Raw genomic sequence first — 22,260 nt, 5'->3', positions numbered from 1 at the left:
TTATGGTAATCTCGGCTTTTTTGGTCTAGTAGATTTTAGATGAGTTGGGGTTTACTGTAACTTCGAAATAACATTTTTTAGTTCAACAATATAGATGGGTAACACAATTTTTATTTTCACAGATTACTTTTCTGAGCCTATTTGTAGAATAAGCATGGCAAATACTTAGATAAGTTTTACTTCTCCCCTCTGTGCAGGGAGCTCTTCATGTTAAATCGAATTCTCATGCACTCAAAGCGATGGATGTACTGCATAATTTTACACCTAGTGCCGTGTCAGTTGAATTTCTTATTCATCACACACCATATGAAGTGTTATTAATCTTTACTGTAAGTAGAATGACAAGTGAGCAATAAAAGCCAGGCCCTAAAAAACTACCAACGAACATACAGGAACAAATCCCCTAACAGATGCTTTAGAAAGAAGTGACAGTCAGTGAAATTTGGGTTACATGTATGTTGCATAACTGATGGGCTGCTGTGTACACCCAATATGGTTCTTGGTTTTCTTCCTCTTTAAATCACAGTGTGGGCTCCATTCTTGCCTGCTTCTCTCCCTCTTTCCCTCCCTCTTGCTCTCCCTTTCTTCCTCCCTCAGACCTCCTCCATTCCTATATCCTATTTTAAAAACATTTGTGGTTGGGAGCTGCTGGACTCTTACCTCCTTCTGCTTTCCTCTTCTGGCAAGTATCTGCAGGTGTCTGCATCTGAGTTCTCAGGTACACCCATGTTTTCCTGAACTGGGTTGAGGATAGCCTCAGAAGGTGTTGGCACAGCTCATGCTCAATGCTTCTTTCTGTTTCTTCTGCCTCTGTTACCCACCTGTGCACATCTACCACTGTTCTTGGGGTTGTTTTGATATCATTATCCAAGCCTGCTGTTTGTCCTTCCTGGGCCTTACATGCCTCCGTTTATCCTGGCCCCAGACTTGAGGTTTTATATACACTGCTTATTGTCCACCTGCTGCTAGAACAACTCAGTGTTTAGGGTAAATTGTTGTTGGTTGTTTTTTTCCCTCTGCCACCGTTGCTTATCCTACCTTCCAGTGTTACAGGGAAAATTTCCTTTGGACGTATCTTGACTGTCCGTGGTAAGAGCCATGGTGAGCTCTGGCTGCAGAGAAGCTAAGCCCAGGTGAAAACAGAAGAGCTTTGTAAAAACACTGTGGAAGGTTGACTGTGCCTATAGTTTGTTTCCATATTCTTGCATAGATGGTGATGCACATCATATGTGCACAGTGTGATACGAGATCAGACCTACTGGAGCACGCTTTGCAGCTTTCTGTTGCATCTTGTAAAGAACCAAGAAAATACAGTTTCCAGACATCCTCAGATAATCTGATGGCAAAGTAAATAAATGCTTTGTATTGATTTGTTGTTGTGTTCCATCAGTACAAACATTTTTTTTCTTCTAATAAATTGCTTTACAGCTAGGGTTTTGCCTTTTAAAGACATGTAAGTAAATGGAATGGATTTGAGAAATAGAAGTCTAAACTTCCAACTACTTGATGCCAACACTACACGATATTTTGGTGAGAGAGTAAAGGGCAGAATTTGACTTGTTACAACTTTGTTAGCTTTCTTATGGCAGTTTTTCTTAACATGATTTTTCTGATGCTTTAAAAATATTTGGTAAATGTCAGTGGCTGCTGTACAATTGCATATTCTGCTAGGTGCTCTTGAGCAAGATATTTGACGTCTCTTTGTCTTAATTTCTTTGCCCTGTTATTGTAATTTCTTACCTTCTTCATCGCGATGTTCTGATGTGTGTGATGCTGTATTATCATGTTTTGGAATAAATGTCATGTGTCCATACAAAGTATAATACAATGAACTTTTATTTTCTTTAGTATTAAGTCTTTGCTAATTTCAAATTAGTGTATATGTGCACTGAAGATGTTTAAGCTTATGAGTAATTTTTCTTAAGATCGTAGACATTGTTTTTATTTTGGAAAATGAGGTACAAGCAATTCTATCAAGAATGGAAAGTACACGGTCCAGTGAATAAAAGCCAATGGTGTTAATGTAGTTAGCAAAATGTATAGGAACCTTGATATATTAGGAACACCAAAAAATTGCATTAACAAAGGAGGCAGCACAGTTGTGAGAATGGCCCTGGATTCTGATCTTAGAAGCTTATGTGCTCCTGCATTAAGCCTTGAGTTGTTTTTTCATTTGTAAAATGAATCATTTGAACTTGATAATCTTGAAGTTCTCTTTTGTTCTGTCTTTCTAAAACCAAGTATTCACTTCCTTGCTCTTCCTTGCCAGCCTCTCCCATCAGGTCTCGGGCTTGGTCCTCTACAAGGGAATTGATACAGGTCATGGTGAGCTGACTCTCCGTGGGATTTTTATGCTGATGGAAAAACTCCAGCTTCTGACTACAGCTACCCTAATGGCTTTTTTATATTCTGTATCATGTATAAATGATACCAAATTTTTGGCCAAAGCATCTGAAAATTTAAATGATCATTCTGAAGTCAGTTGCTTTGATTTCTCTTTATGAATTGTTCCAGTGGCCTTCACAAGCCTGTCAGTTGTCAGTCTTTGGAGTTAGGAGCAGACTTTATATGTTTTGTTGTTTTCTTTCTTTGGTCTAAGAATTTTCATACTGTGAGTAGTATGAAATACCTATTGAAGATATTCTGGAGCAATTTAAAATTTACAGTGCCCTAAGATTATTTTTATGTGATGAAATACATGCAAATGTTTCTTGAGAGTGGGATTTCATTAAGATATGACACAAATACTTTCTTAATTACGACTAAGAAATATGCCTCTAAATGTTCATAGTAATATTCTGTACCCATTAATCCCACAGAATGAATTTATCCTTAGTTCTTTTAATGACTATGTGTCTCTAGGTCCCATTTTACCATTCATTGTGACTAAAATGCAGACATGCCACAAAGTTTTCTGCTTTCCCTCCACCTCATTCTCCCTCTTAACAATGTACTGATATAATTTTAGGCAATATTTTAAAAACATTTCTAGTCCAAGAATATTCATGCAATAATTCAAGCTTGCAACCATTCATTCTATACTTATTACACATCTGCTTGTGCTGAGTCCAATTTTCCAGGCATGTAACCTCCACCTTTGCAAAGCATTATTCTGGCTATTATGGAAGCCAGTGGTTAACTGTTTCAGGGTCTGACTGCTTGGGTTTGTATCCTGTTCCAGTGCTTGCTTAATGTGTGTCTTTGAGCGGGCTTTTAACTTCTCTATACTTTAGTTTCCTCATCTATGAAACAGCGATGTGAACCCTAGCTCATTAGGTTGTTAAGAGCATTAAATTAATTAATACATGGGAAGGACTTAGGACAGTGCCTGACACATGATCATCCTTGTTGTTAGTGGTAATGGAAGGAAAGACAAAGAAAATATATGGTATTTCTTGTTAGCATGATTTTTATAGTTTAATGAAAGGTGAGAGATCTCTCTCTTACAAGGAATGTATATTTAGTATAAATAAAGTATGTGTAGGATATAGTCAGTTTTTCACCATAAATGGCAAATGGAATTTTTCACTATCAATGCTGTATTCAGTAGAATTGCTTATGTGCAGTATTAAGTATACTTTGAACATAATTTATTCTTAATTATTTTAGGTATTTTCATTTATTACAGCAAGTATTGAAAGATGTTCATTATCAACATACAACCAGATTGAAAATAAAATCTAGATAATATAGTTTCCTGATTGACACAAGGGCCCTCCTGGTGCGGAATAAGTACACATGTGCATTCTTAATGACTTCTTGTATGACGGTGGTGGATAGAGCATATGGTAGCCAGGGAAGACTGATGTTTTAGAGGGAAAACAAGATATTTCATTGGCAGAGATTATGAGGAAAAACCCTACTAGCCAGGGAGTGGAGTATTTTAGAAGTTTATGAGGCAGAAATGAGGAGATGATACACAGGGGAGAGAGAGCCAGTTGCCCTTCAACTTTTCATCTCAGCTGTAGTAATGGGAGGGAAGGACAGACACCAGTAAGGATGTCCTTTTGTAGAGGCAATGACGTTTGATTTCACTTGATTCTTTACTTATGGCCGTGATGTGCAAATGTTGACTCTGGCACATTGACTTTAAAACTTAGGAAGCTAGAGTGGAAACTTGCTTAAGAATTCTCCCTTTGAATCATGTGTCATGTGATCTGGCCGCCACATGATGGTGGAGTGTGGCGCTGGGCTGGGTAAATAATGTGCCTCCCTGCCTAGTAACTTGATTCTCAGCTTTAATAAGTTGGCTCATTGTTATTTCCTTTCTGTAGTGTCCGAAAACTTATTTTCAGTAGAAAATAGTCATCTCAAGAATGGGAGTAATAGAAAACTTAAAAAAAAGAGTAGACGCTTCCAACAATTATTTTAAAATGTAATTCTCAGAATTATCTAATGAGTAGCAGGTAAACCCAGGCAGCGTGACAATTCCTGTCTGTGGCCCAGTTTTTTTGGAGAGACCTACACAATGTGCACAATGTTTCTGATGCCAAATGATGGGCACATGGAGCTGTTTTCTGTTTTCTGAGCTTTAAAACCCTGGTATTTATAGACTATGGTTTAATTCTCAGAATCACTCTAAAAAGTTAGTTCTTTCTTTTTTATATATAAGGAAACTGAGGCATAGAAAGGTAAAATTTAAGTCATACACCTTGAAGGTTTTGGAGCCAGACTTTGGAATCTTTATCTTCTTTTTTTTTCTTTAAGTTTCATTTTATGTTTATTGATACATAATAATTGTACATATTTGTGGGGTATACTATGATGTTTTGATAGTTTTATACAATGTGTAATGATCAAATTAGGGTAGTTGGCAAATCCATCACTTCGAACATGTATAATTTCTTTGTGGAGAACATTCAAAATGCATTCCTCTAGCTGTTTTGAAATACACACTATATTATTGTTAACTATAGTCACCCTACTGTGCAAAGGAATGTTAGAACTTATTCTTCCTGTATAACTCTAACTTTATGGGATTTTTATCTTACGATTCCAAGTTCCCTTTCCTTTTTACTTGATCCTACTTCTGTTTCTTTCTAACTTGATCCCAATTCTTTCTCCCCCTTTCTCTTTTTTTAGGGGCGGGGTGTGATGGCGAGTGGTGATGGTATGTTTGATCATCTGATGTACATGGTTGAGTCTGTTCTATTCCTCAGTTCATGCCCCACCACTCTTACTAGTACCAGGAAGACAAGACACCTCTGCTGTTTCACTCATTTTACTTTCTTTATCTTCATTCCCCAGTTCTACTCTTCTTCCTGTTTCATGCCCCTCCTCGCACCACCACCCAAGCATACTTTCCAGTTTGCCTGAAATATGTCCCTAAATGTGCAGAGTTCTTACAGAGTTGGTAGCGGAATTCCACTGTGTGTGTGTGTGTGTGTGTGTGTGTGTGTGTGTGTTTGTGTGTGTATGTATACACACACCACATTTTCTTTATCCATTCATCCATTGATGGACAGTTAGCTTGGTTACAAATATTGTGATTACTGCTGCAATAAACATGGGAGTGCAGATAATCTAGTTAACATACTGATCTGATTTCATTTACTTTGGTTACATACTCGGTAGTGGGATTGGTAGATCATATGGTAGTCCTGTTTTTAACTTTTGAAGAACTTACACACTTTTCTGTAATGGCTGTTGTAATTTCTGTTCCCACCAGCAGTGTAAAACGGTTCCCTTTTCTCCGCAGTCTCACCAACACTTGTTATTTGTGTTTTTGATAATGGCCATTCTAACAGCTGTGAGATGATGTCTTGTTGTTTTAGTTTGCACTTCCCTGATAATTAGTTGTGTTGAGCACCTTTTCATGTAACTATGAGCCATTTCTACGTCTTTTGAGAAATGTCTGTTTAGATTTTTTTTGCCTGTTTTCTTGCTATTGAGTTCCTTTTATATTTTGGATATTAACTCCTTATCAAATGAATGTTTAGCAGATATTATCTCTCATTCTGTAGGTTGTCTTTTCACTCTGTTGACAGTTTCCTTTGTGGTGTAGCTTTTTAGGTTGATGGAATTTCATTTGTTGATGTTTGCTTTTGTTGCCTGTGCTTTTGGGGTCATATTGAAGAAATCATTGACCAGACCAATAACAGTAATTTTTTCTGTGTTTTCAGTTTCTGATGTTGTTATCCCTGCTTCAAACCCAGAATTGTCTGATTCTCCTCTCAATGCGTTCAGATTCCAGAGGTGTCTGTCAAGTACATCTTCTTGGGGCCATCAGGTGTGCTTTGCCTTGTACACAGCCCTCATCCTCAGGCTTACCTGTAACCATCCTTCCCTCCCTGTGTGTCCTTTGTCTCCTCATATCAAGATTTTTTCCTTCTTTGTGTACTCTCTTCTTTGCTAAGCATATCATCCTTTCTGAGGAGGGAGATTGTAGGAGAGGTGAATTTTTTCAAATCCAGCATGTGTAAAATATCTTAACATTTATACAAGACCGATAATGTAGTATGGTCTATAACTGAAGATTGGAAATAATTTTCCTTTGGGATTTCAAAGCATCCTTCCACTCTAGATTACATTGGGATGCCATTAAGATTCCCAATACATTTGTCAGTTACTTTTCTCTCCCCACTCTTTTTTTTTCTTTCTCTCTGAAATCTTGTAGAAGTGTCTTGTTCCAGATGTTCTGAATTTCTCAATGACATGCCTTTATGTGGCCTGTTTTTGTCAAGTTTTGCAGGATACTCAGTGGGCCCTATCATTCTGTAAACGTAAGTCCTTCCTTTAGGGAATTAAAAACAACAACAACAACAACAACAACAAAACCACCATCACCAGAAATCTCATGGTATCCAAATTGATTCATTTACTGAGTTCAGATGGCAAGCAACAGTGTTAGGACATGTCAGAGGATTGGGGTACTGTTTCTTCCAAAGATACTATTGCAGAACTTACTTTCCTCTTCCTTTTGGTTCCTGAGTTCGGAGAATGAGAATTTGAAGAGCAAGGGATCCCCTATTTGGTTGATGCTGTTCTTATCTCCATTTTCTCTCTTCTCTCTTTAGCTCTCATTCTCAAATGTTGGATTATCCCACGCTGGAATTCCAATTTTATTATTATTTTGCTCCTGTTTTCAGTCTTGTTCTGCTTTCTGAAAGACCACATCATCATTGTCTTTTTGTCTTCTTATTTATTCTTTAATTTTTACTATCATATTTTTAATTTCTAAGAACATTTTCTTGTTGTTCTGAGAATAACACTTTTTTAATGACGTCCTCTTATTTGGTGAGTGCATTAATAATGTCTGTAATCTCTGTGTGGGGCACTAAGCAGCTTCCTGAAAGCTCTGAGCTAGTCTGTGCTCTTCTCAGCAGAGTCACCTGGCTGGGCTATTATGTGTTGCACCCTTGATGGCAGGAACTGTCTTTAGGCTTGAGTCTAGGGCTAATTAGGTCTTCCATAGAAAAACCTTTCAAGCTTCTGCCTACCATTGTAGACCAGGCTGCCAGCAGTTTGCAATTTGAATGAGAAGAAACTGGACATCTTATCACTCTTTGTTCCCTCACTCTGTTCTTGGTATGATTTTCTCTTGTACAAGATGTCTATGGAGTCTCTCAGTGGAGGCCCTTTGTTTGACTCTGCACTAGCAATAAACTGCTAGACTTCTGGGGCTGAGAAGGACAGTCCTCCAGCTGTGTTCACGAGGATATGTGGAAATCTAACTAATTCTCAAGTGGACTGTCAATCAGTCTTCCTCATTTTAGCTAGACTTTTACCGCCATTTCTGGTCGTAGGGAGCTGAGAGTGTCCCAGATTCTGGGAGGTTTTGTTGGCTGTGTCAGGTTGCTTGTTATTTTTCTTCACAATTGGCCGGCCTCCCTCATTCGGCTTTCCAGGGTCTGCCAAATCATTTCTTCCACTTACTTTTTAACCTTTTCAGAAATCTTGTGCTTATTGACTTATCTCACATTCTGTATCTAAAGAAAAATCTATTCCATCTTACTTTATTTGAATTGGGGAGAGAGTGCAAGTCAAGGTTCATAATCAGTCTGTTTTCTTTACTCAGAAGTCATATTCTAGTTGGCCATTTAAGTTTCCCTTTCTGTCAGTTATTTATGTTTTACCAGGGCTTTGTTGGGTTTCTTGACTTATTTCCTTATCTATTCCAGAATTTAATTCCTTATTAAATTCACATTCTTATGTTAGCAACTTTGGGCCACATGATAAAGCTCTACTCTCAATGGTCTAAAATGTGAAATTAGGTGTTAATATTCTGTTCTCTAAGTATGTGTCATTGCTGTATGGGATTCCCAAAACATAAATACTACAGTGATTTAATGCCTAAAAGTTCTCATTTTGGGAAAAAAAAAACAGTCCTTGAGAGAACAGCAATTATGTAGCATATGATTTGTGATAGTTGTCTTATTGGAAGTTACAGAAACCCAGCTGTGAGAGAGGCTGAGTGTCGCCCAGTCTATTCCTTCCTTTCTTCTTCCGTGACAATAGAATTTTCATTGTGTGTGTGGCTGCTTAGAATAAAGATGACGTATTCCAGCCTCTACATGTGGCCAGCAAGTTCTAGCCAGTGAGATGTAAGCTGATGTATAGTGAGCAGCTTGTAAAGCTGCTCCACCTGTAAAGTCCCCCAGTACATTCCTTTTACTCCACATTGTCCTTCTTTCTTCAGTTCTGTTGCCTGGAATGTGGGTGTGACAGCTGGACGTCTGTCTCAGTGCTATATTGAACCATTTGGGTGTGTCCCACCCTGGGCATGGTGGAGCTATGAGCTGGAATGTACATGAGTTCTGTGAGGCTTGGGGAAGCACAGCTTCCATACCCTTGACTGCCTGACTTTGCACTTGGAATGCGAGAAATAGAAACTTCAGTAATGTCTAAGCCACTGTCCTTTTAAGTTTGCTGACACTTGCAGCCAAACCTAATCTTAAATGATACACTAACTGAAACTTGTTTAATCAAAAAAGCGTTTATGGAATGGGACACGTAAGAGGTGAAGCCGTGTTTAAGAACTGCTGCATGTGGCAATTTGACTAGTATCCTTAGTACTCTCTCTATTCACTTCTTGGTTACTTTATTTATTTTTGCCTCTGTTTGCTTTATCTTAGGCTATCAAAATGTGGCAGCAATACAGCTGCTGGTTGCCTCAAATTTCCATCATAAAGTTTTTTTTTTTTTTTATTTGAGATGGAGTCTCATTATGTCGCCCAGGCTGGAATGCAGTGGCTGGATCTCGGCTCACTGCAAGCTCTGCCTCCCGGGTTCACTCCATTCTCCTACCTCAGCCTCCCGAGTAGCTGGGACTACAAGCCCCCGCCACCACGCCTGGCTAATTTTTTTTTTTTGTATTTTTAGTAGAGACGGGGTTTCGCCGTGTTAGCCAGGATGCTCTCCATCTCCTGACCTCGTGATCTGCCTGCCTCGGCCTCCCAAAATGCTGGGATTATAGGGGTGAGCCACCGCGCCTGGCCTGGCTTTTTAAAGCAAGCACTTTTCTGATAATTTAACACTTGGCCTGGTCACCTATTTCCTAAATCAATCAAGGTGACTAAGGGGCAAATCCTCACAGCTGTTAGGCTTGGGTCATATGACCACTGCTGATGTGGAGGGGAGGGGACATCCTTACCCAAGCATGTAGACTAAGTGGCATTTCTCTGGCATAGAGGAGGACTGGTTGGAGAGGATTCTCGGAAGATAAATATACATCCAGTTGCATTATATACCATTTAGATTTCATAATGCTGTGGTTTAAAAACCAATATATATGTTAATTTCTTGATTTTTTTCCTGTTTTTCAGTAGTTCTTTCCTAAGAAAACAATGAATATTAAAGTCAATAATTTATAGGAGAATCAATGATAGTGAAGAGATAAAAAATAAAATTTAAGATATATAATTTGGTATTTTAAGTCTTATATGGTATAGTAAGGAAAATGCAAAATATTCTTTGCCTTTATAGGACACAGTAGTAATATCAAATGAAAGTATCTGTGGTTAAAAAAATCATAACATTTGTCTAAGTAATGATCATTTATGTTAGTTATAATGAAACATTCCTTCTTAGAGTGGTTGCAGTGTATTTATGCAAACTGTCACAACTACAGTTAAGAAACTAATAATCTTATATGATTCACTTCTGATTGTAATCTCTTACAGTAACTCTCTTTTTTCTAGTATCCTCTCCAAGGGTCCCACCCAGTGACATAGTTGTTCAGTCTTTTTTCTTTTCCTTTCTTCTTTTTTCCTGGATGGAAAAATTCTTTGGAAAGAACCCTCTGAAGTGAAATGGAATGCTTTCCTTTTTCAAAAAAGTGAAAAAAATGAAAGCCTATAATATTTATTTTTAAATTTATTTTAAATTTTTAAGTGGTGTAGCCTTTTAACAAACTATGTGTTTCCATAAACTTCTGAAAAATTTAACCTTGTATGGAAGGCAAGGCAGGAATTTTTAAAAATAAACTTTATTTTTTGGAGTTGTGGATTTGCAGGAAAATTGAGAAGATGGCAAAGAAAGTTCCTGTATACCTGATGCCCAGTTTCCCGTGTTGCTAATATCGTAGGTTGGTATGGGATCTTTGTTTCGATTAGTGAACCAATATTGATACATTAAATAAAAGTTCATATAGTAAGTCCTCATTTAAGTCACAGATAGTTCTTAGAAACCCAGAGTTTAAGTGAAACAACGTCTAAACATGCCAAATTTACTATAGACTGATTGATAGGAACAAGAGTTAAGTTCCTATGGCAAATTTCTGGTTACAGAAATATCACCCAGCTTCTAAATAAGGAACAAAACACTTCTAATATTAACCACTGAAATAAATAGGAGCTATACATACATTTCAGAAAGATTAATAAAAATCAATAAGATAATTACTCAGTTATTCCAGTTCAGGGCGGTGGCCAGAGCCCATCCTGGCAGCTTGGAGCGCAGGGCAGGAACAGCCCTGGACAGGATGCCCTCCCATTGCAGGTGACACACACGCACACTCAATCTGGGACCATGCAGACATGCCAGCTTCCCTAATGGGCACAGCTTTGGAGTGTGGGAGCTCGCTGGACTACCTGGAGAAACCCATGCAAATACGTGGGAGAACATGCAAACTCCACACAGACAGTGGCTTGGGCTGGGGATCTATTTTTTTTTTTTTTTCATTTTCGTCAATGCTGTAATCAAATGATGCTGAACAAAATGATGTTATCTGAGAACCTACTGTACTTTATTCAGATCTCCTCAGTTTTCATCTGCAGTCCCTTTTGAGTTCCAGGATCCTGTCTAGCATACCACATTAGGTTTTGTGATCACATCTGACTCCTCTTGGCTGTGACAATTGTTCAGACTTTCCTTGTGTTCGATGACCTTGGCAGTTTGAGGTGTGCTCGTCGGGTATTTTGTAGAGTGTCTCTCAGTCGAGATTCGTCTGATGCCCTCTCATGTTAAGTCTAGGGTGATGAGTTTTGGGAGGAGGACCACATAGGTAAAGTGCCGTTCTCATTACATCACATCAAGGGTACATACTGTCAAAATGACTTATCATCTCCATACTGACATTGATTACCTGGCTGAAATAGGGGTTGTCAGCTTTCTCCACTGTAAAGTTGTTCTTTTCCGTAATAAAGGATTATGGTCTTTATTACTGTTCTCTTGGAAGGAAGCCACTGTGTGGACCCCACACTTCAGAAGTAAGGAATTATACTCCACCTCCTTGGGTGTGAAGTATACACATAAATTATTTGGAATTATTCTGCTTAGGAGATTTGTCTCATCCCCCTTATCTATCTACCTACCTATCACATCATTTTTATATCAGTGTGGATTCATGGATATTTATTTTATATTGTGGATTATAATCCAGTACAACTTTATTTTGTTGCCCAATTTGTTTTAGCTTTGGCCATTGGTAACTTTTTTTTTTTTTTTGAGACTTTCTGTTTTTGAGATGGAGTTTCACTTTGTCACCCAGGCTGGAGTGCAGTGGCGTGATCTTGGCTTACCGCAACCTCTGCCTCCCGGGTTCAAGCGAATCCCTTGCCTCAGCCTCCCGAGCAGCTGGGACTACAGGCGCCCGCCACTACATCTGGCAAATTTTTTGTATTTTAGTAGAGACGGGGTTTCACCATGTTGGTCAGGATGGTCTCGATCTCCTGACCTCGTGATTCACCTGCCTTGGCCTCCCAAAGTGCTGGGATTACAGACGTGAGCCACCATGCCCAGCTTGCCATTGGTAACTCTTTTAGTTGACTTTTGTATCTCTCTGACATATCTCCCTTATTGTATGTCAAACATTTTTTTTTAATTGTACTTCTCTACTTTCTGGTACTTTCAAGATGTGCCATACTCATACCCATACACCATCTTATATATCTCCTGCCTCAGTCCTGGAATCATTCATTTCATCACAGAGCCCTCGTTCCTCTTATTGACAAATGGTATTAGAAACCAAGATCTGGGTGCGGGGTGTGTTTGTTGCCACTGGGGTGTTGCAAGGCAGGCATTTTTATTATCCCATTTTACAGATGAGGAATGGGACATCTCAAATGACAGTGCTAGTGAAGGAAGAGGGTGGGGCGGTTGTGGTCAGTGTGTGGAGTAGGGGTCTTGTTTCTGGGTAGCTTCCTTTTCATTCCTCTTCAGTGTGCAGAGTTTTTCTCTCTCACTGATACTTTTACAAGGTAGTTTATATTCCTGGGCATTGAATCATTCATCTAAGGGCAAGGTATAAGAAAGTTTGTATTAATATTCTGACTGGAGAAATTATTTATTGACCATATCATTCTTTTTGTTTTTTGCAGCTTTGCCAGCAGGCATAGAAATGAAATATTATGTATTAAAGAATATTGTATATTGTTGGTAGCAATAAGAATAGATGCAGAATTCTCTGCAAGATTGTTAGTAAAGATAGAATGCTGTAGGAGTGTTTAATGAATTGAATGCTCTCCCACTCTTCTTTCAACCCACACAGCAATTGCTGTGAGGACCTGCCTAATTTGCCAAAACTAGATCCATTGCCCAATTTTTACAATTTTAGTCTTGATTGAACACATAAATATTATGTTGAGTAGAGAAATGTATGCTTTCCTCAAGGAATTCTAAGGGAAAAACTTAAATTCAGTCACATACTGCTGTTATCCCTTTGTATTAATTAATCAATTTGTGCTTTTAAGAAATGGGAGCTTGGTAGCTTTTATGGGTTGTCGTAGTCAAGGACCAAGATATTTGTATAATCCTGATTCATTACATTTTAGCGAAATATCAAAAATCAGTCAAACCATTACAAAAGCAGAGTGTACACACACACACAGAAACATGCACGCACACATGTTAAATTCCATTTTCCCACTGGGGCCTGTTACATGTTTGTACGGAAGTTGGAATGAGTTTTATACTTGTCTTAGTTTCGTTACTCCTGTTTTAGCACAGAATGGCCTTAGATCAAGCTATTATGAATTATCTTTGTCCTCTATCCCCATAACCATATTTACTCATCAATAAACATATTCCTTTGAAGCATTTGAATGCATTAATTTTTGAGGTTTGAAACATTTAATCTGTCAAAGGATTACTGTCTTTATTTTCCTCTGACCATGAGTGGGATACTTACGCAAGCTTCAGCAGTGCTAGACCCTTATTTCATTCAGCCTTTGAAATTTACAGAATTAATGAAAACATAGTATCTCATGAAGGGAATCTGTTTAACCTCATGGAGAGATTTTTCAGTCTGTCCGATCTTATTTATCATGTGTGGAATCTTTTTGCCCTTTCTTTTTTGTATTAATATTGGAATAATCTTGTGAAAGATCCCCACTAAACTTTGCTACTTTCTTGAATCCTTATTCCTATTTCCCTAGGTTTCTTCCTACTTTGCTGTGTCTCCTGGGATATTGAGGTACTAGAAAGGCTTCTTGCCCATAGAGATTCACTGTGCTGTCTGTTTTAATTTGTGCCTCAGTTAATGCTTTTTTCGTATTCATTTAAAAGCTTTATGAGTTCCTGTTCTCTGAAGCATAGATCTTATCTGTCTGATTGAATGACACATTGCAAATATTTAATATTTCATATTTATGAAGACCTGCTGAATTATTTTATTACCCTTTTGGACATACTTATCGGATCTGTCTTAATTGATGTTAAGACTCGGCAATCCATTAAGTCGTTGAGTCAATTCACATTCAGACTGTACCTAGGATTCTTATGGTCCTAACTCCAGTGATTTTCAACACAGCTCAATCAAGGCAGATACTCTTCTGGTTTTGCTTCTAAAAAGAAGCTAAAAAGCAATCTTTGGGACACTCTGACCTTTTAATGTCTTTGTTACGGTAAAAACATGGAGTGTTACCTGGCAGGGTGAAATGCTACCAGGTCAGATACATTTTCAAGATTGGGTCCTTAACGCTGAATGCACGTGTGACCTTATCTATTCAGAATTGGCCAGTAGCCAGTGGCCAGTAGATAACCTCATTTTTTTTTTTTTTTTTTTGAGATGGAGTCTCGCTTTGTCACCCAGGCTGGAGTGCAGTGGTGCTATCTCAGCTCACTGCAACATCCACCTCCTGGGTCCAAGTGATTCTCCTGCCTCATCCTCCTGAGTAGCTGGGATTACAGGTGCCTGCCACTATGCCCAGCTAACTTTTGTATTTTTAGTGGAGATGGGGTTTTACCATGTTGGGCAGGCTGGTCTTGAACTCCTCACCTAAAGTGATCCACCCACCTCAGCCTCCTAAAGTGCTGGGATTACAGGCGTGAGCCACTACACCCAGCCGATAACCCCTTCTTCATACTGAAGTTATGACTAAACTATACATTACAGAAAATGTTAATAGCAAACACTTGTATAGCACTTATTTAGCACTTATATTTTTTAGATGTTTATATGAATTATGATCTTCATTTTGTAGATGAAATTAAGGAGCAGGGTATTTATATAGCTTGAATACCTTCACACAATAATGTAGTAGAGGAAATATTAGACCAAAGCATTCTGACTCAGGAGATTGCTCTGAAAACTTTGCTATTCTGCCCTGAGTGTTTTCTTTTCTGTTTTGAAGGGGTGTGTGTGTGTGTGTGTGTGTGTGTGTGTGTGTGTGTGTGTAAATCAGCGATCTGGGGAATTTCATAGCTATATCTTTGATTTTTAATTTCTCTTTCATTACGCTGAGCCGTGGATGCTGGTGATTTTGATGAGTTTTAAGAAGGAAGAGTTGCTGCAGCAAATTGAACTCTTAAAAGCCCCCATCCTCCCACTTATCAAAATTTTAGCTCTACTTACACAATGCTTGAATTTGAGAGTAAGTCAGCATCTTAACATGAATGTTGGAAGCCAGTTTCATTTGATAAATATTTATTAATCTCATCCTGTGAGCCGTGTCTTATCTGAAGGACAGTAATCACAAAAAGAGAAATAAAACTCATCCCTGAACTGTGTGGGACAAAGCCAGTCTTTTGATATATAAATACTTCCATAATAAATACCTACATGAGAAACTATACTACAGGGCACATGAATGGTGCAAAATATTGTGGGGATTCAGAGATGGTAGATAATATGGGCATGCTTTTTCTGAAGAAGTTGCTTTAAAGCTAGGATGTGAAGGAGGTGGGATTTCTGTGAGGTATTTGAGGTGGAAGGAGTGATGTGAGCGGAGTGCTAAGGAGGAAAGGTGTGTATAAGTAGTCTAGTGTGGTTGTCAGCTAAGATATCTTTGTGGGGAGAAAGAATTTTGGAGATGTTATTTGGGGTTGTATTGTGGGTTTATTTATTGTCACCCTAGACAACTGTTGCGGCAATGCAAATGGACAAGAAGGGATCAGTTTGAGAGGTTTTCTCAGATAGAACTTGTAGGACTTGGCAACTAATAGAATGGGAAAGGTCTGGGTGAAGGAGGGGTCAAAGATGATGTCAAGCTTTTAAGTTGAGCTTTGGAGAGGGCAGATGGAAATCAGAAAAGCTGGTTTTCATTCTGGCCTGCTTTGCAGAGGCAAGGATTATTGTGAGAGTTGTTATGAACATTTTTGACTTCCTCAGCTTCGGGAATACTGTTTTGTATGACTATATTATATGTAGGGTGTGTATTTAAGCAGAGGGGATGACTCCCTAAAGGAATCATGGAGAAAATGCCTGTTAACAGCTTTCCTGTGTAATGCATTCATTGTGTCTAAGTGAGTTTTTCCAAGAACCTTTTAGTCAGTCTCAAGTTGTTTGAAAATGGAAAAGGTGAGAATTTGTAGGCATTCTGATGTTGGCACTGAGTTTTTTATACTGGAAGTCTTTTTCATTCCTGAAACTGTTCTTGATACAATGGAGGCTCCCCAGGTCTTCTGGAATCCCAATGTCCCAGGCCGGGGCTGCAGATGGCCAGTGCATCCACTAGGGGTGTCAGTCGTCAGGAGTGGTGCCTGGTCTGCATAGCACAGTACCGTATTCCATAGACCAGCAGCACGAGCACACTTTTTCTCTTCCTCATAGATGCCCTCCTTGATGGCATGAATCCTGTCTGTCTGTGACTGTTGAATCCCTAGCACCTGGCATTATGCCTGATACATGTTAGACTAAAAAAATATAAATGAAGTGATAATGTGTTTTTCCCTTAGTCTGTGGCTATCACATCTGTCCTGTTTATTAATAACCCTGTGATATACAGATTTTGAATTAACAGATAAGTTTTGAAAGATAATGTAGTGGCCATTTATTAGGGAAAATTTGAAGAAAGGGTCCTATATATGTGATTTACCATTTATATATTTTAATGCATTAAACCCACAGTTGAATACTTTCATCTAGATTGTCTACTAACCACACTTGGTCTTTGACATCCATGAGTTGGTGTTCGAGCAAGCCATACTTTTTACATTGACAGCCGTAAGTCACTATTTTATACTGAATTTTGAGCAATAGCTCATGTGTGAAAATTGAGGCATGACAGGACAGTGTTATGTGTCAGACAACAGTTTAGTGGAGTCAGCATTACCATCTTTTGTGTCTGTCATCTTGAATGCAGCACTCATCCAAGCTGAGGCTAAAGATGTGTGAAGAATTTCTATCTTTATCCTAATTGTATTACGCTTTTGAAATATAACATTGATATTTCATTTTTTATTTCCCCCTATTTCCAGAAGTACTGTCCATTTTGTAATAAATCTTTAAGGCCAAAGCACAATATCATTAAATAAAAATTATTTTATAATTTTTTACAGAATTATGTTTTTCTTTTTAGTTTTTAAACTTTTTATGTATTTTTATTTTTTATTTCTTTGGAGATGGGGTCTCGTTGTGTTGCCCAGGCTGGAGTATGGTGGTGTGAGACTGAAAAGCTCACTGGCTTCACCTGGCTCAAGCAGTCCTTCCATCTCAGCTTCCCAAGTAGCTGGGACTACGGGCATATGCCAACTTGCCTGGCTATTTTTTCTTTTGGTAGAGATGGGGTCTTGCTGTGTTGCCCAGGCTGGTCTCAAACTGAACTCAAGCACTCCTCCTGCTTCAGCCTCTCAAAGTACTAAGATTACAGGTAAGAGCCACTGTGCCCAGCTGAGAATTATATTGTCTTAATGTAGCATTTTTCAGATGTAATGTTAGGATAGGGAACCCAAAGATCTGATTAGACCAACTTGGCAGAGAGACTAATAAATTAAAATACCAGGATACTGTTAATTGAAATTAATTAGAAGCAAAGGAAAAAAATGCGTAAATAAAATATTAATTTAAAATGAATTTAAAATGAAATCGTCTGCTTTTACAAAACCTTTCCAGGAACACACATATTGTGCAAAGTGAATCCATAGCTGTATTAAAAAAATAGTAATGGCTATTCGAGGTTAATTTTTTTTTTGCTAGTTATAGATATTCAAATTCTAATAGCATAAAGCATTTTTTTTTCCCCTGGGATGTTATCGTCCCTAAGTTTTACATGTTTTAAACTAAGCTGTAAATTTAGCTTGAACAATTTTAATAACATTTCCAAAGATGTATCTTAAAAAGGAATTTAAAAGAAATACTGAGCTTTTGAAGTCAAACACAACCCCCTTTCTTACAAAAGCAGTCAACTTACTTTAACTGAACATTTCTTTGTCCTGAAGTTAGAAATAACTTCAGCAAAAATTTCTCCACAGGGTTGATATTTTAATGATGGGAACCTTAGGTTAATATGTTCATTTTATACTAGTCGTTTATAGTCATTTGTGAATGGAATGGTGATTGACAAATACATTTGCTTTAATGTGGAGCTGGACTATAATATATATGGATCAACTTCAGGTGTTCATGTCTGTCTGTTCTCCATGTCGAGTACGATTGTACCTTCTCTTCCCTCCTGCACTGCTTTTTGTCGTGGATGACCAGGCTGTGAGTTCTTCCAGATCAAAGATCATATCATGTTGTGTCTGTAGCCCCAGCATGTAGAGCAATGCTAGGCAGCAGTATGTGGTTAATAAATGTTGGTTGAATGAATACATGATTGACTGAATGCATGTATGTCTAACAGTGTTTGCAACTGACAGCCTTTTTGAAAAAATTATTTTGAATAGTTATAAGTTCACAGGAATTCCCCCTCCCATTCCTCAGACACAGGAGATTCCTTGTCTCCTCCCTACCAGTTTTCCCCACTGGTAGCATCTTACATGACGTAATACAGTGCCAAAACTAAGAAATTGACATTGGTATAATCCACAGATCTTCTTCAGGATCACTGACTTTACATGCACTCATTTGTGTGTCCTTTGTATCAGTTCTAGGCAGTTTTATCACATGTATTGATTTGCATGGCTACCACCAGAATCAAGATAACAGATCTTGTGTATGTGGGGTTCCATGCCCACAAGGCTTCCTGTGCTACTGTTTTGTAGCTAACCCTGACCCCTCATAACAGGATTTTAATCATCCTGACCTTGTGCTTTACATTAGCTTCTGCATTAACTATGGCATGAAGAACTATAAGATGTTTCTGTTATTAAGAGACAGCAGCAGTGATTTTATCTGTATTCATTGCCCAGTCCACAGATCATCCCTCATCCATGATCAGTTTACACATTTTCTGTTTAAAAAAATTATCTTAAAGTTGGCTTTCCTAGAGTAATGAATTGTCAACATTATCATAATGGGAGTCCACTCCTATTAATCAGAACTTAGAGACCACATGTTGTGTTCATTATCCAGAAAATGTATCAAGTTGCAAAACTTAAGTAGAATGCTAAAAATTGGGATCCACAGTATTAATGAGCTAAAAATTGACAAGTGCATCTTAGAAAATGCTTCTGTGAGCAAAAAAAATTTGCAGGCTCATACGCAATGAATTGGAGTGTTCAACACGGTTTAATTGGCGGCTGTGGATGTCTTGTGCATAATTGAGGTTGTAAAGATGGATGCATGTGGTAGGCATGGGGGGTCTAAATGGGTGAGTGTGTATTGTAAGGGAATCCGTCCCTTCCGACATACTGCAGGCTGGGTTGCAGATACAGTGATCCATGTTTATGTAAGCAAGGTGGAAACTTCTGATCTAGAAGGGAAAAAACAGGTGCTTTTGTATGTTTTTCTTTCAGGAAATAGTTCACATTTTCCAGAAAGAAAAGTTTTTTTTTTTTTTTTTTTGGAGACGGAGTCTTGCTCTGTTGCCTTGGCTGGAGTGCAATGGCGTGATCTCGGCTCACTGCAACCTCCGCCTCCCAGGTTCAAGCAGTTCTCTGCCTCAGCCTCCCGAATAGCTGAGATTACAGGCGCCCACCACCATGCCTGGCTAATTTTTTTATTTTCAGTAGAGACGGGGTTTCACCATCTTGGCCAGGCTGGTCTTGAACTCCTGACCTCGTGATCCACCTGCCTCGGCCTCCCAAAGTGCTGGGATTACAGGCGTGAGCCACGGCTCCTGGCCCAAAAGAAAATCTTTTACGCTTATGTGACCAAGATAAAAACAGACAACATGGTCAAGTTTACACTTGGTTTATAAATTTATCAAAATGAGAGCTGTCTTGTTGGCATAAAACAGAAGGCACTTTTTCTACATCCTCTTCCCTGTCTTATTCTTTCACATTTCATTGTGCTGGAAGATCAGGTTAATGGAACTTCCTTGGGAATTTCATCACCATCTTCTGCTGACTTCTTTTTCTACCCTGCCTCCTGTCCCACCACAGGGATATGCAAAGTGAATGTCTGTTAGGGCAGAAGCCAGCAAGAAAAACCTGTTTTGCAAAGAAAAGCCTCCAGGCCACACTCCTCTGTCATCTGGATAGAAAAATCTTACCACATCCTCAGGTTGAAAAACCTTCTTGGGAATGCTGTGTTCCTGCTGGTGGTGTTCATGTGTTTGTGCGTGCACTGTGTGGGGATCTGGGAGCCTGTGGGTGGGCGTGGGGACAATGAGTCTGGGTGAGTGTCAGGCAAGGCCTTTAAAAATAGCTTGTTTTTCATTTTTTTGGTACATAGCCTCCCTGTTCCAGTTTATTAACAATCAATTTTTAACTCTTATATTAGGTACCGTGGGAAGTTAAGGTCGTTCTTTGAAGAACTAAGAGTCTCTTCAGAGGATTTATCTGCAAGTGGGAGAAAAGGAGATTTACCAGCAATGCAAAATAGGCCATGGAATATTTAAGTATGGAGAGGATACATTGTTGAAAGTATGGAAATGGTCTGAGGAAAATCTGTGAAGACTTAGAGAGTGGGTGGTGTCAGATGGTTCACAAGGAGCTGATGAATGCTAGGCCTTGCGGATAGGAGTGTATAGGAGCATTCTGAGGCAGGAGCTGGGGATGTGGCCGTGGCTGGCTGGTTAATGAGTGCACTGGACCGGTCAGACATCCTGGGTTCAAGTCCTTCTACCACTAGACCTGTTAATTTAAGATGAGGTTCTTCCCTATTAACTCCCATGTCACATTAAAGTTATGAATAGTAAATAAAATGTTTATAGAAAAGTAAAAAAGCTTTCTAAATTGCAAAATCCTATAGAGATTTGAATTGTTACTCTCAAATTACCAGTCTTAGAAATCAAAATTTTAAAAATTTGTGTACAATTTAAAACTGAAGAGCGTCTGAAGAGATGCTGATACTTACCCATTTTTAAGGATATGAAATGACAGCAGATCATTTTAGGATGAAAAATTCATTCCCCTTTCAACCCCTCAGAAATGAATTTTTAGAATGATTATGATTCTCTTCAGCTTTTCTAAAAATTTGTGAGAGAAAGATTACTTCTAAAGAACTGGGTAGTACCAGCTTTTTGTTTGGCTTCATTCAGACATCACATTTAAAAACAAACAAATGAGAACAAAACAAAAAAATGTACTATGAATTTTTCTTCCTCCTTTCTTTTGAGACATATTTATCGAGCACCTATTTGGATGCCAGCTCCTGCAATGGGGATCAAAAATAATCATCATTCTTGCAGTGGTGCAGATAACCACATTAATATAAATTGAGTCAACCCTCTGTTTCCAAGGGTTTCTCATCCACAAATTCCACCAACCGAAATTGAAAATATTAAAAGAAAGACAACATAAATTTAAAAATACAGCACAACTATGTATGTAGCATCTGCATTGTATTAGGCATTATATGTAATCTAGAGATGATTTAAAGTATATGGGAGGATATGCATAGGTTATATGCAAATACTACATGCTACTGTTTTACATAATGGGCTCAAGCATCTTTGGATTTTGATTTGTGGTGGGAGTCCTAGAACCAATAACCGCAAATACTGAGGGATTACTGTATATATGTATCACTTCCACCCGAGAGCTGCTGTTGAATAAAGGGAAAAATTCTAGGCTAGCATATAACAGGAAACTGGTGAGGCTGTGTTCCCTTGAGGAAGTAATATTTGACTACAGATGTGAGGTAAGCTATGGGATAAAAAGGCCTGGAAATCAGAACAGAGGTATATGGGTTGGGATAAAAATTAATTGCTAAAAATAGTGACAGCTATTAAGCCAGTGTATATGATGGGCCTTTTTATAGTATTCTACCTTGGAAGCTTAGACAAATCCTCTTCTATAGCATCTTAATACAGCAGTTTGCCTAGGCATTATGCTTTGTCCAACCTGAGATATTTTCAGAAATAATGCTCTAAGATTTCAGATGTATCTCCCTAATACTTTGCTTCATAAAACCCGAATCAGAGTAATAGACAAAAGGTACTAAAATAGGATTTAAGTGAATATCTTTGTAAATCTGGAATAGAGAAGAACTTTCTGAATGGTGACTCCAAATCTAGAAATTGTAAGTTGGAATTTGACTACTTCAAACACTTTTATAATAAAAGTTTTGTCAGTTTAAATGGCGAACTATAAAGTGGTAAAAACCATTTACAACAT

At 38.3% G+C, this 22,260-nt stretch overlaps 1 protein-coding gene across 15 annotated transcripts in view, besides 2 other annotated features; it reads left to right on the top strand.

Annotated features, from left to right (window-relative positions):
- Positions 1 to 22,260, top strand: part of KLF12 (KLF transcription factor 12) — a 619,957-nt gene that overhangs the window by 249,299 nt on the left and 348,398 nt on the right. The window lies entirely within an intron of this gene.
- Positions 19,175 to 20,104: an enhancer, noted in NCBI's record as "NANOG-H3K27ac hESC enhancer chr13:74610780-74611709 (GRCh37/hg19 assembly coordinates)". NCBI's record gives its function as "activates a minimal SCP1, AML or CMV promoter by ChIP-STARR-seq in naive H9 embryonic stem cells {active_cell/tissue: H9 hESC(naive)}" and the evidence as "EXISTENCE:reporter gene assay evidence [ECO:0000049][PMID:30033119]".
- Positions 20,105 to 21,035: an enhancer, noted in NCBI's record as "NANOG-H3K27ac hESC enhancer chr13:74609849-74610779 (GRCh37/hg19 assembly coordinates)". NCBI's record gives its function as "activates a minimal SCP1, AML or CMV promoter by ChIP-STARR-seq in naive H9 embryonic stem cells {active_cell/tissue: H9 hESC(naive)}" and the evidence as "EXISTENCE:reporter gene assay evidence [ECO:0000049][PMID:30033119]".

This window comes from Homo sapiens, chromosome 13, assembly GCF_000001405.40.
Source record: "Homo sapiens chromosome 13, GRCh38.p14 Primary Assembly".
NCBI lineage: Eukaryota > Metazoa > Chordata > Mammalia > Primates > Hominidae > Homo > Homo sapiens.
The sequence above is the reverse complement of the archived record's forward strand: the minus strand, read 5'-3'. Positions and strand labels throughout refer to the sequence as shown.